The sequence below is a fragment of the Homo sapiens genome, chromosome X, assembly GCF_000001405.40.
Source record: "Homo sapiens chromosome X, GRCh38.p14 Primary Assembly".
NCBI classification, from domain to species: domain Eukaryota; kingdom Metazoa; phylum Chordata; class Mammalia; order Primates; family Hominidae; genus Homo; species Homo sapiens.
Window position 1 is genome coordinate 154,375,229 of NC_000023.11, and position 15,732 is coordinate 154,390,960.

Consider the following 15,732-nt stretch of genomic DNA (forward strand, 5'->3'; position numbering starts at 1 on the left):
GGATCGCTCAGGGGGACGAGAAAGTTAAGTTTGTTTAGTATTAAGAAGATTCTGATCTTAAAGAAAACATTGGCCGGGCATGGTGGCTCATGCCTATAATCCTAGCACTGTGGGAAGCTGAGGCAGGTGGATTAATTGAGCCCGGGAGTTTGAGACCAACCTGGGCAACACAGCAAGACACTATCTCTACCAAAAATATAAAAATTAGCTGGGCGTGGTGACGTGCACCGGTAGTCTCAGCTGCTCAGGAGACAGATGGGAGGATCGTTTAAGCCCGGGAGTTTGAGGCTGCAGTGAGCTATAATTTCACCACTACACTCCAGCCTGGGTCACACAGTGAAACCCTGTCACTAAACATAAAAAAAAAGGCCAGGTGCGGTGGTTCATGCCTGTAATCCCAGCACTTTGGGAGGCCGAAGTGGGTGGATCACGAGGTCAGGAGTTCAAGAACAGCCTGGCCAAGATGGTGAAACCCCGTCTCTACTAAAAATATAAAAACTAGCCGGGCGCAGTGGCAGGCGCCTGTAATCCCAGCTACTCGGGAGGCTGAGGCGGGAAAATCGCGTGAACCCGGGCGGCAGAGGTTGCAGTGAGCCGAGATCACGTCACTGCACTCCAACCTGGGTGATAGAGACTCCGTCTCAAAAAAAAAAAAAAAAAAAAAAAAAAAGGCCGGGCGTGGTGGATCCCAGCACTTTGGGAGGCTGAGGCAGGTGGATCACGAGGTCAGGAGTTTGAGACCAGCCTGGTCAACACAGTGAAACCCGGTCTCTACTAAAAATACAAAAATTAGCTGGGCGTGGTGGCAGGCGCCTGTAATCCCAGCTACTCGGGAGGCTGAGACAGGAGAATCGCGTGAACCTGGGAGGCGGAGGTTGCAGTGAGCTGAGATTGCGCCACTGCACTCCAGCCTGGGTGATAGAGCTAGACTGTGTCTTGGAAAAAAATAATAAATATAAAAATAAAAATACAAATAAAAAAATAACGTTAACAGCTCAGTGAACAATCATCTACTTGTCATAGACACTGAGGAATGTTTCCATGTTGATATTTTTTCCTCGTAACTCAATCATGTTGGGATTGTAAGTTATACAGCATATACTGCTTGCAAGCCATTCCATCCTTAAGGAGCAACTCAGTTTTCTTATTCTTGACTTAGAATTGGTTGCATCCCGATGTCTCCTCTGCCTGCACTTCCCAGGAAGAACCCCCTGAGGCCCTCAGATTTTCCTGCACACGCCCTTCCCAGACCCTCTGATGACTGCAAATCCCACCCTACCCTTGACGGGAAACTCTCTGAGGCTGTCCAGGTCATCACCCCCAGGGACCAGGTACTGGTGGGGGAATGTTCCATGAATTAATTGCTGTACTCAGGGCTCTTGGACAAGTCTCCCCTGATCGCAGGGTCCTGACTCTCCCTGTATAAGATGGAGGCTCTGCTGCTCAGGAGCCTGCCTGGCTTCCAGTGGTCTGGAGTGGAGCTGCACTGCAATGGGGCTGGACTTAGGCTCCAGGTACCCACAGGGTGGGTGCAGGGGGACCATCACAGTTCAGCTTCCTGGTGCCATCTGTGGTGGGACCTGATTGTGGGGCAAAGGGGTGGGACATAAAAGGCAGAGTGTCGAGGCAGGTACAGAACGGGTGGGGGGTGCTCCTTAGGGAGAAGGCAAATCTAGAATTCCTTGACCTCATAAGGAAACAGCTTGGATCCGTATGGGGAGGGGTGGCATGGGGGAGGATGGAGCAGCACTTAGTACACAGAGGCCTCTGGGAGAGGGGCCAGGATTGCAGAAGGCTTGCAGAGGTGCTGGGGAATCTGATTTTGTCAAAACTAAAAAATCCACAAGGCAGCCTCTGAGCAGCCCAGAGTCCAAACTGCCATCTGTCCCCTCAGCTCTGAAAGATGAGGTGCAAACCCCTGCCCTACCCAAGGCTCTCCTGCTGCACACTGCCAGGCACTGTCTTCATGGACCCACACTTCCTTCCATATTGCTGGGGACACAGTGGGGCCTTGCCAACAGTGATTCCTCTTTGTTAGGATCTTTGCGTGTAGTCAAAACAGGGCCCCATCTCCTCATTACTCCCCCAGGTGTCTACCTCTTCCCACCCCATGGGCAAACCTCCATGGATGACTGGTCTGTGACCCTCACCAGCCAGGCCAGCCATTCTGGACATGACCAGAGCCCTCCCCTCTTCTTCCCTTGTCACCAGCCCTCAACTGTGAAACTACAGATGGCATGTCACCTCTTCATGCTCCCAGTTTGGGGCCTACCCAGTGAGGGGCACACTAGTTGATTCCATACACCCTCAGCTGGCTTTGTTTAGAATGTGAATGTCACAGCCAGGCGCGGTGGCTTATGCCTGTAATCCCAGCACTTTGGGAGGCCGAGCCGGACTGATCACTTGAGGTCAGGAGTTCGAGACCAGCCTGGCCAACATGGTGAAATCCTGTTTCTACTAAAAATACAAATACTAAATACTAAAAATACAAAGCCAGGCATGGTGGCATGTGACTGTACTCCCAGCTACTCGGGAGGCTGAGACAGGAGAATCACTTGAACCCGGGAGGTGGAGGCTACAGAGAGCCAAGATTGCACCACTGCACTCCAGCCTGGGTGACAGAGCGAGACTGTCTCAAAAAAAAAAAAAAAAAAAAAAGAATATGAATGATGAATGTCACCTCCTTTCTCTTCTCCATGAGACAGCCAATATCTGATCAAGGCCCTGGGAATGGGAATCCATAGCTCGCCACCCACGTCTGCCCCCTGCCTAGCCACGCTGCGCTCAGGGACCATTCCGACAGGAGAGGACGCCCCACTTCAGCTCCCCCCAGTGCCCCGGGTGAATGAACGGCATGAAGGGTTAGGCGGGCACACGTCGTCTCTGCACGCATCGCACGGCGCCCTCTGCCCGCGCCCACTGGCGTGCCCGTCGGCATGCCCGGGCCCCTTCGAAGACTGCTTGCTTCTGGAGTGCCAGCGGCCTCCTGGCCCAGTGCCCCATTTCCTCCCGGGTGGAGCGAGGGAGGAGGAAGGGAAGCAGAGGGGTAGGCGGTGGTAAGCAGCAGGCACATGTGCGCGGGCGAGAGCCCCGCAGACTGGGAAGGCGGGCCCATGGCAGGGGGTCTGCGGGGATCGCGTAGGCGCGGGCCTTGCCCTGCAGCCGCTTCCCGGGCGATGCGCACACAAAGCGCCCTCGGCAGCGCCTGGCCCGGGGCCCGCGCTCTCTTAGGGTCCGGGCCCTTCCCGCCGCTGCTGGGGCGGCCGACCGGGATGCGGCCGGGGAACCCTAGGCTCTGGGGCCCTGGGAAGGGGGACGACGGCGGGGAGTAGGGATGTGCAGGGATCGGGCGAAGCCCAAGCGACTTAGGGACCAGAGCCACCCCAAGCGCCGACTTCGCCCGCTCGCACGTCCCGGGTCCCTCGCGCGCAGGCCCCGCCCCTCTCACCCCGCCGCACGCCACAGGGTGACGTCTGGGCTCCCAGCCGCATCGCCCTGACTCCCGCGCGGGCCCCGCCCCCTGCCGCTAGCCAATCTGTGCGTTTGTGACTTTTGGGCCCGCAGCCCCGCCTGCTCCCACAGCGATACCGGTTTGCATTGCCCTGACTCCCGCGCGGGCCCCGCCCCCTACGCCGCTAGCCAATCCATGCATTAGTGGCGTCCGGGCTCGCAGTACCGCTCGCTCCCACCGCGAGACCTTCTGCTCCGCGCCCGCGCGGGCCCCTCCCCCTCCATCGCTAGCCAATCCCCGTTTTGTGACGTATGGGCTCGCGGCCCCGCTCGCTCCCACCGCGAGACCTTTTGCTCCGCGCCCGCGCGGGCCCCGCCCCCTCCATCACTAGCCAATCCCCGTGCTTGTGACATATGGGCTTGCGGCCCCGCCCGCTCCCATCGCGAGACCGGTTCCCACCGCCCTGACTCCCGGGCGGGCCCCGCCCTCTCCGCCGCTAGCCAATCCTCGCGTTGATGACGTTTGGGCTCGCGGCCCCAGCCTCCCAGCTCTCAGGGCACGGCCGGTCTGTGCCGGCTGCTCCCGCGGTTAGGTCCCGCCCCGCGCAGCGCGCGCAGCCTGCGGAGCCAGCGGCCGTGACGCGACAACGATTCGGCTGTGACGCGACAACGATTCGGCTGTGACGCGAGCGCGGCCGCTCCCGATGCGCTCGTGCCGCCCCCGCCGTGCTCCTCGGCAGCCGTTGCTCGGCCGGTTTTGGTAGGCCCGGGCCGCCGCCAGGCCTCCGCCTGAGCCCGCACCCGCCATGGACAACTACGCAGATCTTTCGGATACCGAGCTGACCACCTTGCTGCGCCGGTACAACATCCCGCACGGGCCTGTAGTAGGTACGCGGCGGCGGGCGGGACCCCTTCCGGGCCCCCTCCTCGTGCTCCGCCTCGCGACCTCCCCGCTGCCCTCCCCGCGCGCCTTCCCCGGCCCGCGGCCCTGACCGCCCCGTGTCCGGCCAGGATCAACTCGTAGGCTTTACGAGAAGAAGATCTTCGAGTACGAGACCCAGAGGCGGCGGCTCTCGCCCCCCAGCTCGTCCGCCGCCTCCTCTTATAGCTTCTCTGGTGAGAGCCTCGCCTGTGGGGACAGCCTGGGACGCGGGGAGGATGGGGTCGCGAGGGTGTGGCAGGGGGGCCGGTCGAGAGCGGCACTGGAGAAAGGGGAGGGAAGTCTGGGGGGGCAAACAGTTCTGTCTCCTCCTTTCAATCCAGACTTGAATTCGACTAGAGGGGATGCAGATATGTATGATCTTCCCAAGAAAGAGGACGCTTTACTCTACCAGAGCAAGGGTAAGGCAGGGGTTGGGTGGGCACGCTGGCACCTTCACCCGACTTCGTCAGGGACCCCGCTCACAGGGAGGACCTGAGACCTCAGTCCCAACCACTCCAGCAGCCTTAGGAGGGAGAAACTGTTACAGGTCCCGAAATGGGATTCAGATTAGGGCCATCAGGCCAGGCGGGGCACACCGATGCCCCCTCTGCTACCGCTGCCCCCCTTCCCAAGGCTACAATGACGACTACTATGAAGAGAGCTACTTCACCACCAGGACTTATGGGGAGCCCGAGTCTGCCGGCCCGTCCAGGGCTGTCCGCCAGTCAGTGACTTCATTCCCAGATGCTGACGCTTTCCATCACCAGGTGAGCTGGCTGGCAGGCGTCCTGTACTTGGGTACAACCTAGGGGATCGCGGCTGTGTTTGGATAAATCCAGGGGGGCACTGGGTACAAATGGTGGCTCTTGGGCCTCCGGGGAGACTCTGTGTGACTAGAGCACCCTGGTCTGGGATCTAGGCTCAGACTCTTCCTGAGAGTCCTGGGGGCAAAAGGGGATGCTGGGGCATGAGCACAAGTGGCAAGGCCCCATGGATAAAGGGCTGAACACCCAGAGCCATTCAGGAGGGTGTGGGTTCCTGGCCTCTAACCAAAGGTCAGAGGGGACTGGCTGGGGAAGTTTGGACTGAGGGACATGACAGGGCCATGGTGGCCCTGCCAGCCAGTCCCCTCGCCCTGACTCTCTTCTGCAGGTGCATGATGACGATCTTTTGTCTTCTTCTGAAGAGGAGTGCAAGGATAGGTGCGTAGTGGGGGAGCCCAGGGACGGGCTGGTTCTGGGTCCAGGCTCCTGGCCCACTTGCTCCCCTCTTTTGCCTCAGGGAACGCCCCATGTACGGCCGGGACAGTGCCTACCAGAGCATCACGCACTACCGCCCTGTTTCAGCCTCCAGGAGCTCCCTGGACCTGTCCTATTATCCTACTTCCTCCTCCACCTCTTTTATGTCCTCCTCATCATCTTCCTCTTCATGGCTCACCCGCCGTGCCATCCGGCCTGAAAACCGTGCTCCTGGGGCTGGGCTGGGCCAGGATCGCCAGGTCCCGCTCTGGGGCCAGCTGCTGCTTTTCCTGGTCTTTGTGATCGTCCTCTTCTTCATTTACCACTTCATGCAGGCTGAAGAAGGCAACCCCTTCTAGAGGGAGCCATGAGGGTCTGGGCTTCAGAGCTAGGTCTTTGGGGAAGTCCTGGCTGACTGCCTTAGCAGTGGGGGTGGGGGTGGGGGCAGGGGCAGGGGCTTTATGTGTTTTTGCTTGGGGGGCGCTGGGCCTAGCCCAGAGTAGTGCTTGCTCCCCCTGCCTTGTCCCACCAGGGAGGCAGCAGACTCAGGCCCTCCATGGTCCTCTTTGTCATTTTGTTGACATGCATTCCTCCTTTTGTCATCTTGTTGGGGGGAGGGGATTAACCAAAGGCCACCCTGACTTTGTTTTTGTGGACACACAATAAAAGCCCCGTTTATTTGTAATGCGTTGGCTCTTCCTGGAGGAGAGGGTTGGGCTCCCATGGCAAGGGCCTCTGCGTCTTGGGGCTCCAGGATTGCAATCCGGCTTTGTTGGGTCCGCATTTTTGCTTTAGTCTGGGGATAGGAATCAAATGTTACCCAGAGATGTTTGTGTTTTGTTTGGGAGTTTTATTCCCTAACTCATTCCCCAAAGCACGTGTAACTGCTTATACATATAATCGTGGTACAACAAGGTATATACAGAGAACCCACTTGGAAATTCAGGCAAAGCTGCATGCACGCTACCAGCAGTCTGCGGGTGTTTTAACTGGAAAAAGCTGAAGTCCACCTCGGTGTCCAATGGCATGGGGATGGAAAGAAAATGAGGCGTCTCTGGCACATCATTCTCAGCTCCTGGAACTGCTGCTTGTTTAACATGGGAGAAAAGCTCCAAAGGCTGAAATGCCCCATCATCCCTGGGTGATTGAATTCACCTGCCTATATTCTCACTTAGCTCCCAGGTTTTCTGCCCTGGGTATGTATTTCATAATCTTCAAAGTATATATATATATAATTTTTTTTTTTGAGACGGAGTCATGCTCTGTCACCCAGGCTGGAGTGCAATGGCACAATCTTGGCTCACTGCAACCTCTGCCTCCGGGTTCAAGCAATTCTTCTGTCTCAGCCTCCCTAGTAGCTGGGACTACAGTCGCGCACCACCATACCTGGCTAATTTTTGTATTTTTAGTAGAGACGAGGTTTCACCGTATTGGTCAGGCTGGTCTCAAACTCCTGACCTCAGGTGATCCACCCATCTTGGCCTCCCAAAGTGCTGGGATTACAAGTATGAGCCACCGTGCCCAGCCGAAGTTTACTATATATATTATATATTTATTTATTTTTTTGAGATGCAGTCTCACTGTCGCCAGGCTGGAGTGCAGTGGCGCAATCTCAGCTCATCGCAACCTCTGCCTCCTGAGTCCAAGCGATTCCCCTCCCTCAGCCTCCCGAGTAGCTGGGACTACAGGTGTGCACCACCGTGCACGGCTATTGCTTTGTATTTTAGTAGAGACAGGGTTTCACCATGTTGGCCAGGATGGTCTCCATCTCCTGACCTCATGATCCACCCACTTTGGCCTCCCAAAGTGCTGGGATTACATGTGTGAGCCACCGTGCCCAGTCTACATATATGTTTTTAAGTGGAAAGTGGGTACTAAAACCCAAGACAATGCCACGTGTTGCTGTGCATGCCTGGCTCTATGCTGCTGGCAGAGGGCGGGAGAGCACAGAGGGGCTGCCGTCCACTGCACACGGGCAGGTGGGAAGCAGAGGCCCAGCAAGGGGTGGGGTGCTGGCATTAGTCACCCAAGCCTTTGGCTCCTTGCTGCAGGTAGTGGGACAGCCCAGCCTCCCACACTTGGCACAGCTCCCATGTAGTGCCTGCACATGCATTTGTGGAGGCAGGGCTGGGGCTGGGACCCTCCCTGGCTACTCCTGACCATTTATCTTGGCTGCATCCTCGTCTCTCCTCACGTATATTTTTGGTCCTAAAATAGTACATGGTCCTTGTGTGTTGCAAACATGCAGAAAAGAGTGAATCACTTCTAATTTTCTTACCACTCACAGTTTCAGCCTTTCTTGTTTCATTGCTATGAGCTCCTCTTACCTGGCTCACCCCGCAGTGCCCAGCCACTTGCTGTGTGGATTCCCCAAGCCCCTGCCCTCTGCCCCTCACCATCCCAAGCCCAATGCAAAGACTGATGGCTGGCCCTGCAGCAGGCGAGACCTGGATGGTCCATGGCGGGTGGTAGGCATGGGCAGGGGATGCCACCTCCTCACAGGTCCACCTTAGGGATTCAATGGTCCCATTAATGAGCCTGTACATGGGGGGCAGAACAAACAGGTTGCTACTGCCAGGACCCTAGAAGGACGCAGTGACAGAGCCTCCTGTTTCAGCAGCTGATAAAAACCAAGTACACTGACAGGAAGAACCGAACTCACCTCAGTCCAGTTCCCCCAGGAAGCACTCACTACCTGGGATTGGGGCTGGACTGCAGCCCAGTGTGGCTGGACAGAGGCAGATGGGGCCTAGCAGGAACCTACATGGGACCTGGGGTGGTGGCAAGGTTGACATCCCAAAGCTCTGGAGTAATAGCTGGTGTCAGGGAGATGGGGGATGTGGAGCTGGGCTTGGGGCATCCCAAGGAGGGAAAAGATATCCAGATATCGGGACGAAATGGTGCTTTCTAGGCCTTAGGTCAGGTCCTGGATCTGTTCCAGGTGGGGAGTAAAGAGGAGGTAGCTGGGTGTACTTGGCAACCACTGTGGTGTCTGGCGTGAGGGAAGAGAGGGAAGGAAGGAACAGCGGCCACCCCTGACGTAGCTTGCCCCTTTTCATTCATTCCAAAAGAGCTCCCAAGATTGGATGGAAGAGGGCTCCCGGAGTCCCCACCCCAGTTCCCCAGGGAATGAAAAGGGCTGCGAGACTCCCTGCTCCTGAGGGCTCATGGCGTTCCCCAGGGCTCTGCTCCCACCACCTCCCTGAGCTCCCTCTGGATTCCTGAGGCCTCCCACTTGGGCTTGGTCACCAATCCCCAGGGCTCCATGGGCCTTGGAGTACTCCCCCCACCGTTTCAGGGCTCCTCAGGGTTCTGCCAACCCCATCCTGTGATCTGTCCAACCCCCAGGGCTTCGAACCCCATGAAGGATCCTGACTATTCTGGACACACCGAAGTGCACTGGGTGCCCCAGCCGGAACCAGAGGATTAGGAAGGTTCCATGGGCCTCAAGAGCCTCCAGGCCTCCACTTACATGTTCTCCAGAGCTCTGAGAGACCACTGTGGCCCCACTTTCCAAAGTTCCCAAAGAATCTGGGGCCCCCCGCAGGGCTCCAGCCATGCTCAGACATACAGCAGGGGGCAGCAGCTGCCCAAGGTCCAAGCGAGAGGCCACTCTGGGCACTGTCCAAGAAGATACTGGATTTTTTTCCTCCGCTACCACCAGGCCCTGCCAGACCAGGGAGGAGAACCACCTGAGGGGGCTGGGAGAGTGTCAAGGCAGCCAGTGGAGAAGGAGACTGTGGAGAGGGACTGCAGGGCCAGGGTCCAGAACCCATGGTCCTGGCAAGGCCCTTGACCTTGGCCCCAGACAGGTCCAAAAGAGGTGACAGCGCCAAGACCGGCCAAGAAGGACATTTGCCTTGACCCTCAGCTGGGTTGGAGGTACGAAGGGTGTCTGCGGGGCTGCTACCACTTTCAAGAAGAGAGTGCCAGGGGTGTAGGACCTGTGGCTTCATGAGCATGGCACACTCCTGACTCTGATGGCATAAAGGAAAGGAAAACGGCAGAGGAACCCTGCCTGACTTCCACCTGGGGCTGGGCTGCTGGCCCCAGGCTCAGGGCGGCCACTCACTGGGAGACACGGGGCAAGCAAGACACAGAAAGGGGAAGTCCCACCCCCAGCCGCAGCCACTCTACTGCTCCCCCTGGGCCCAATGGCATAGAGGTAAAGGGGCCAAGCACACTCTGGAAGCCTCTAAAAGCCACCAGCTGAACGGGGCTGTGAGGCAGCAGAGCCAGGCCCAGAAAGATGCAGTGCCAGTTGGGAGGACGGGAGGTCCCCCTGAGGCTGCGACTTGTCCGCTCAGCCCACTGTGTGCCCAGGATTCTGAACCTCTGGGGCACTCCCTCCTGTCCCGAGTCACCCAGGGTCTCCTGCCCCCTCCCTGTGTCTGCTCCATCACATCCCCTCTCAAGCCCCATGCCTGGCAGGGCCACCGCCCTAGGGCTGGGCTAGGTGAACCAAGGGCACCGGTCCCCCAAACCTGCCGATCGTCCCCAGGCTGCAGGGAGGGACACATGTGGGGCGGCAAGGGCAGAAGATAAACTAGGGGGATCCGGGCCCCTGAGGACAGCCCTGGCGGGAGGCCACAGGCCTCACAGGGTGGTGAGCTGGAGGCCACCCAGGCAGGCAGGCAGGCAGCAGGGAAAGAGACTGGCACGGTCCTGGCCAGGGCCCCCCCCGGGAAGGGCGGGCAAGTAGGAGCAAAAACAAGAGCAGAGCACGGGCCCCCACCCTGCCGGGTCCTATGGCCTGGGGACTCACACACACTGAGGAAGACCCAGGAGGACCCGCCAGGCTACTAGGAGGAGATAAAGGGTGCACAGGCCTCCAACCCGCAGGTTGTGTCTGGACTGAGTCCAGGGAGGGCAGGGAGGGGCGGTAGCCCAGTTGACCTTCCCTCCCCCAAGCCACACCTCTGCACCCCAACCCTCCCTTCCGCCTCCCAACAGCCCCATCCCCGCTCTCCGAGGAAACTGGGAGGGGACCTGGAGAGGAAAGGGAAGCAACGGCCCCTCAGAGCGGGGTTCCCCAAAATCCATGGCCAGGGACTGAGGCCAGCACTCAGACACTGTTGGGAACACTGGCCAGGAGTCCCTCGGGGTGGACCTGGGAACCTGCTGCAGAAGCTTAGGGGACCGGGCCAGCTCAGGAAAGGGCTCAGGCTGGAAACCGAGCAGACAGGGCACCGCTGGACCTGGGGCCGAGGAGGACAGGAAGTAGGTGACTATGGAAAGACCCCCGCCGCCACCCACGCCCAACTCGGCACACAAAGGCCCAGAGAGGCCCCCAGACATGCCTGTGGGGGCAGGGGTGTTTGCAAACATTTGCAGAGGGACCGGGTGTCCCAGGCACATGGACAGCTTGCAGGGCCCGGCTGAGGCTAGGACAGCAGCAGGTGGCTGGCAGGAGGTGCCCCGCCAGGGTCCCCAACTGTGTGGGGGGCAGGCCCGAGGCAGGCGGCACCAGTCCCGGGCAGGATCTCTCGGAAGAGGGGCCGTACCCAGCCAGGGTTCCCAGAGACACGGGTGGTGGGGCCGAGTGCCCCCTCACCCTGTGCCTGGCCCCCAACAAAGGGTGAGCATGTATCCTTCCTGGACACGGTGTCCAGGGCAGGGCACTCCCGAACCAGGATGCCCCCTAGGCCACAGGACCCCTCAGCCCCAGCTGACAGCAGCCGGGGGGGATCTGGGGAGGCCCCCAGGAGGCAGGGCGGCAGCCAAGCAGAACACCATCCCTGGACCCACTCTCCAACTGCAACCAGGGCCCGCTCCCCCGAAGGCACCAGCTCTCCCTAGGGGCAGGACCTTGATCCAGAGCAGGAGTGGAGGCCCCCAACAGGGGACGGCTGGAGAGGCCCTGGGCTCACGAGCCAGGGAGCGGCGCCTCTGTGCCCGGAAGCCCCTGGGTCCTGCCTGGGCTGCTGGTAGCTGCTGCGGGCCGAGGGGTCCGGACGCCCCTAGGGTGCTCTGGGGCAGCTCCTTTGGGACCCTCAATGGAGCCAGTAAGTCCAGGAGGGCGCCGATCCGTCCAGGTGGGTGCATGGGCCGGGACAGGGTCTGGCTGCTGTCGTGGCTGTGCCCATCTGCCGAACAGGTCGCTAGGAGAGCACTCCCTGAGCGAGGGCGCCGGGCAGCCCGGGGAGGGAGGACACAGTCCCCGTCCAGGCCCCCGAGGCCCCCATAGCAGGGAGAGCCGGCCCTCCTCGCTGTTCTTCCCGCGGGATCGGGCCGGCACCTCGGCTCAGGGGAGAGAGGGTCACAGAGGACAGCCAGCAGGCAGGTGGCCCAGGAGTGTGGGGGGTCGGTGGGCCTGACCGTGTCCTGAAGCACCCCAGGACCCTGTACCCGACACCCTGGGGGAGGGGCTGTCCCCACTTGCCAGGAACACATTCCTCAGGGAAGGCCCGGCAACCTGCTCTCGTCGGGTTCAAGAAGGGCCAGGCGGCTTTGGAAGGGGCCAGGAGCTGTCACCAAGGGCCCCCGCATTGCCCAGAGGCGGCGCGGGCCAACAGGAAAAGCACTCACCGCCCACGGAACCTCTGTGACAAACTCAGAGCCACGGAGAGCGTCATCAGCAAGTCACTTGCCAGTCCCAGTGGGAAGGATGGGGCACGTCTCCAGGGAAACGAGACACCAAGGTCTTCCTGGGGCCCCAGTGGAAAGCTCCTTCCAGGACCCACCTGGCCCTCCACATCCCACCCTCCAGGCCAGGGACCGGAGCCCAGTATCCGGCAACCTGACACATCACGGAGAAAAGGAGCTGCTCTGCCTTCACCATGACGACGCGGCACACCCCCTCCCTGCCCCGGCCCCTCCCCTTCAGGGCTGCATGCGGGGAGGAGAGGCCTCCCCTGTCTGCAGAGAGAGGCTGCCCCACCTGGGGCAGAGAGGGGACAGGGGCAGGAATGAGCCCCTGGGAGGGGGGCATTGGAGGTGGGGGGCACATCCTGCCACCCGGGCTGGCGTGGGGCACTCATGCCATGCAGACCAGAACGGGCTTCCCACCGGCTCCTGGGGATGTTGGACCGGGGCTCCCCGACCAGGGCTGGGAAAGGCTTCCATGAAGAGCCAGAGAGCACACGGCGCAGACCCTGCGGGGCACACGGGGTCTCGGTGGCAGAGTCTCCCTTCTTGGGGTTCTCTGTGATGGGTTTTGCAACCCTTTCAGGATGTCAAAGCACGCCCCGCCCTCAGAAATGCAGGCCCCGGCCAGTGTCAGCCCCAGGAGGTGGCCTGCTGCTCCCGCTGACACCAAGGACATGTTCCTGAGGCGGCCCGCTCGGGATCTCCAGCAGCCGACGCAGGTCTACACGTGCAAGGGTGCTTCTGACTCGCAGCACTCAGGAACAGCCTCCACCCTGAGCGTGGCGCCCTCTCCAGCACGCGCCAGGGTGGACCTGTGAGACCAATAAAAACCACAGCGGAGGCGAGGCGAGTCACTTAGGAGACCAGGCCATGAAGAGACTGTGGCCGGGTCTGGGGCGCCCTCTCCTGCTGGTTCGACTGGATTGCAGGTCCGGGGGAAGCCCAGCAGCCCTGGGGAGGAGGCCCGGTGGGGAGGAACTGAGGCCTCCTGCCACAGCCTCCAGAGGGAGAGTCATCACGAGGGCTCCCCACCCAGTCAGATAGGATGGCTGGGCCCCAGTGGACACCTGACCGCAGCCTGAGAGGGACCCTGAGCCACAGTCCTGGCTCCCCGAGAGCCCTCCCAGAGCCTGTCCCTCAGAACCCTTGGGGGGGTGACACGAGTGCTGGGGGGGTGAGACGAGTGCTAGGTGGGGAAGGACCGAAACGTGAAGTCGTCTGTTACCCAGTAGTCGGAACTGGTGCCCAGCGTCCAGGGGGCAAGACACGGCGTGAGCCAGAAGGAAACAAACCGACAAGAACCCCCAGAAGCCATCAGGAAAGCCTGGAGATTCTGATGACACGAAAACTAAAATCCCCTCTGTGACCAAGCACAACCCGCAAACCACACAGTCAAGAGACAAGTGATAATAAGGGGAGAAAATAGTAGCAAGAGGTGACTAAGGGCTCGCGTCAGTCACACACACACAGAGCCGGACACACGGACAAGGCAAAGTGCAAGGACAAGAGAGCAAAAGGGGGCGGAGGAGAGGAAGGGAGAGGGAAGGAAGCGTCTTCTCCACCGGGATGCAATTCCTTGGGAGCCCGTCTGACCCCAGGGCAAAGAGATGCTGGGTCGCCAGAGCCGCCGCGGAGAAGTCCCGCCGGGCCTCAGAGCCCAGCAAAGAGGAACCAGGGCGGACGGGCCAAACCCAGCGGCCGGCTCCCGGGGGGGTGGGTGGTGGCGCTGCGGGGAGTCGCCTGAGCAGCATCACCAGCAGCTGGGAACCCTCCCGGTGCGGGAAGGTTGGCGGGTAAGGCGGGGCTTCCCCGGAAACACTGGGCTGGACCCAGCGGTCCCATGGGTGCTGGAACCAGCCCTGCGGGTGTTCCCAGGCACCCTCCCGCGGGAAGACCGGCTGGAGGGATGGCTCCTGTTGGCACCCACGTCGAGGGAAGCCACCGCCTTCTCTGCGGGGCTCGCCTTTCCTACCTCCCCCAGGAGACAGTCAGGCCAGGAAGCGCCCCAGCCCACGACCGCCCGCAGCAGAGCAGGATTCCCTCCCCGGCGGCCGCCGCTGTCAAGGGACGGGGAAGACTTTGTTACCCCACCGCGCGCCACCGCGGAATGGTGCACAGACACCTCCAGACGCCACTTCCCCCAAGACGGCCGCCCGCCCCGCTCTGCCCACCTCTCCCTGGACGCTGCCGGGTGGGCGCGGCCCTGCTTCCCCACGACCCCCCAGACGCGCCCCGAGGCACTTTCGCAGCACAGTGGAGTGGGAAGGGCGGGGCGGCCCCTCGACGGCGCCGAGGCGAGAGCGGCTCACGGGGCTTCCCGGGCCCTGATCTCAGGCGACGCCTGTCCGCCTCGTCCCCGGGGGAAGACAGTGACCACCGGTCTGCAAAGGAAGGGGACTCGGCGCATGCCCCGCAGGGCCGGCCCAGGACTCGCAGGCGCGGAAGGCGGTGCCGAGGCGGGGGCGGGGCGTGGAGGGACAGCCCTAGTCTCCGCCCGCCGGGGCCCACAGCTGCCTCGCTCCCCGCCTCCGCTTCGGTCGCTCCTGGTAAGCTCCAGGCGCCCACGGGAAGCCCCGCCCAGCCCCGCCTATCCGTCCTCCTCTTCGCCTGTCCTCGCCAATGACCATGCTCAGATTGCACGGAATTCCCGCCCCTCGCCCTTGACTGACGCTCCTGCTGCCCAGTGGACGACACCCCGTCGCGTGCGCGCCGCTGCGGCCCTGCCGGGTGTGGCGCGGCGCTCTCAGGCTCCTAGGCGTTCCCGGGGCGAGACCCAGGGCGCTGGCCGCAGAGTCGCCGGTGCACACGCAACAGTGCCGCCTTGTGTTTTGGGTGTGGACCTGCGCTTCTCTAAGCGTTCCATTCCCGAGAAGGGGCGAGAAACGTCCAGAGGTCGTGGCACCTGCCCGCCGCTGCCGGGGCGTCGGCCGTGGGCGCAAGTGAAGCGCCCCGGGAGCGCGGCGCGACGTCCGTGCCTTCCGAGGGCGGCCCGGGTGTCGCCGCGGTGCGCGCGGGAGGGCGCGGCCGTGGGCATTTCCGCGCTTGCGCGGGTTCCTGTCCCGCCCCGGCCCCGGCCCCGGCCCCGGCCCCGGCCCCGGCCCCGGCCCCGGCCCCGGCCCCGGCCCCGGCCCCGGCCCCTCCCTCTCGTGGCCCCGCAGTAGACGCAGCCCCTCCCTCCCGCGGTGCAGCGCAGCCAGGGCTCTGCTCCGGGAGTCATGGAGTCCATCACCGCGGAGCGTTATCTCAGCGGACCCACGCGGTGTCCTCCGCTGGGGTGGGCCGAGTACCCTCCGCCTCCCGCCCGCGAGATCCATCCCAGCCCCTGGCGGGGGCCCGTGGTTCTTCCCGCTCATGGCCACGGAACGGTCCACGCTCGCGGAGCCGCAGGCTGAGCTTTTGCTGGTGAGGGACAAGGTCGTGGTTTCCCGTGGCTGGTGGCCCTCACGGAGGAGCCTGCTGGGAGCACGCCCGTGTAGGGTTTCCTGTCATCGGGTTGCCACGCCCATCTTGAACGCTCGAGTCCACGCAGAAGTG

The 15,732-nt window shown here is 61.6% G+C and overlaps 1 protein-coding gene across 1 annotated transcript, besides 10 other annotated features; it reads left to right on the forward strand.

Moving 5' to 3' along the window:
• Nucleotides 3,158-3,287: a silencer, noted in NCBI's record as "silent region_21096". NCBI's record gives its function as "represses an Ori minimal core promoter by ATAC-STARR-seq in GM12878 lymphoblastoid cells {active_cell/tissue: GM12878}" and the evidence as "EXISTENCE:reporter gene assay evidence [ECO:0000049][PMID:35858748]".
• Nucleotides 3,308-3,727: a silencer, noted in NCBI's record as "silent region_21097". NCBI's record gives its function as "represses an Ori minimal core promoter by ATAC-STARR-seq in GM12878 lymphoblastoid cells {active_cell/tissue: GM12878}" and the evidence as "EXISTENCE:reporter gene assay evidence [ECO:0000049][PMID:35858748]".
• Nucleotides 3,738-4,037: a silencer, noted in NCBI's record as "silent region_21098". NCBI's record gives its function as "represses an Ori minimal core promoter by ATAC-STARR-seq in GM12878 lymphoblastoid cells {active_cell/tissue: GM12878}" and the evidence as "EXISTENCE:reporter gene assay evidence [ECO:0000049][PMID:35858748]".
• EMD (emerin) lies at nucleotides 4,067-6,295 on the forward strand. Its single transcript, NM_000117.3, has 6 exons — nucleotides 4,067-4,338; nucleotides 4,462-4,566; nucleotides 4,714-4,791; nucleotides 5,006-5,139; nucleotides 5,525-5,574; nucleotides 5,654-6,295. Exons 1-6 carry the CDS (start codon nucleotides 4,257-4,259, stop codon nucleotides 5,967-5,969), a joined length of 765 nt encoding a protein of 254 aa, NP_000108.1. The 5' UTR covers nucleotides 4,067-4,256; the 3' UTR covers nucleotides 5,970-6,295.
• Nucleotides 4,445-5,024: an enhancer, noted in NCBI's record as "H3K27ac-H3K4me1 hESC enhancer chrX:153608033-153608612 (GRCh37/hg19 assembly coordinates)". NCBI's record gives its function as "activates a minimal SCP1, AML or CMV promoter by ChIP-STARR-seq in naive H9 embryonic stem cells {active_cell/tissue: H9 hESC(naive)}" and the evidence as "EXISTENCE:reporter gene assay evidence [ECO:0000049][PMID:30033119]".
• Nucleotides 8,090-11,533: a meiotic recombination region, noted in NCBI's record as "meiotic double-strand break mapped by DNA meiotic recombinase 1 chromatin immunoprecipitation followed by single-stranded DNA enrichment and sequencing in the germ cells of some male individuals with the PRDM9 A/A, PRDM9 A/B and PRDM9 A/C genotypes". NCBI's record gives the evidence for it as "EXISTENCE:chromatin immunoprecipitation-seq evidence [ECO:0000229][PMID:25395542]".
• Nucleotides 8,090-15,732: part of a biological region, named in NCBI's record as "Xq28 distal FLNA-EMD recombination region", that runs on past the window's edge. NCBI's record gives its function as "recombination_partner: LOC107988032".
• Nucleotides 8,432-8,447: a nucleotide motif, noted in NCBI's record as "nucleotide motif; similarity to the predicted 13-mer PRDM9 C binding motif, CCNCNNTNNNCNTNNC".
• Nucleotides 9,338-9,353: a nucleotide motif, noted in NCBI's record as "nucleotide motif; similarity to the predicted 13-mer PRDM9 C binding motif, CCNCNNTNNNCNTNNC".
• Nucleotides 9,640-15,732: part of a non allelic homologous recombination region, noted in NCBI's record as "distal repeat sub-region recombines with the proximal repeat sub-region within the Xq28 proximal FLNA-EMD recombination region, resulting in an inversion", that runs on past the window's edge. NCBI's record gives the evidence for it as "EXISTENCE:Southern hybridization evidence [ECO:0000078][PMID:9140403, PMID:9384614]".
• Nucleotides 10,476-10,488: a nucleotide motif, noted in NCBI's record as "nucleotide motif; similarity to the predicted 13-mer PRDM9 A binding motif (LD hotspot motif), CCNCCNTNNCCNC".

What these genes read in the sequence shown, in the direction of transcription:
- EMD (NM_000117.3), top strand. Translation starts at nt 4,257, where the DNA reads ATGGACAACTACGCAGATCTTTCGGATACCGAGCTGACCACCTTGCTG. An exon ending in CCCGCACGGGCCTGTAGTAG is followed by an intron (nt 4,339 to 4,461) that starts GTACGCGGCGGC and finishes GTGTCCGGCCAG; the next exon opens with GATCAACTCGTAGGCTTTAC. An exon ending in TTTACTCTACCAGAGCAAGG is followed by an intron (nt 4,792 to 5,005) that starts GTAAGGCAGGGG and finishes CCCCTTCCCAAG; the next exon opens with GCTACAATGACGACTACTAT.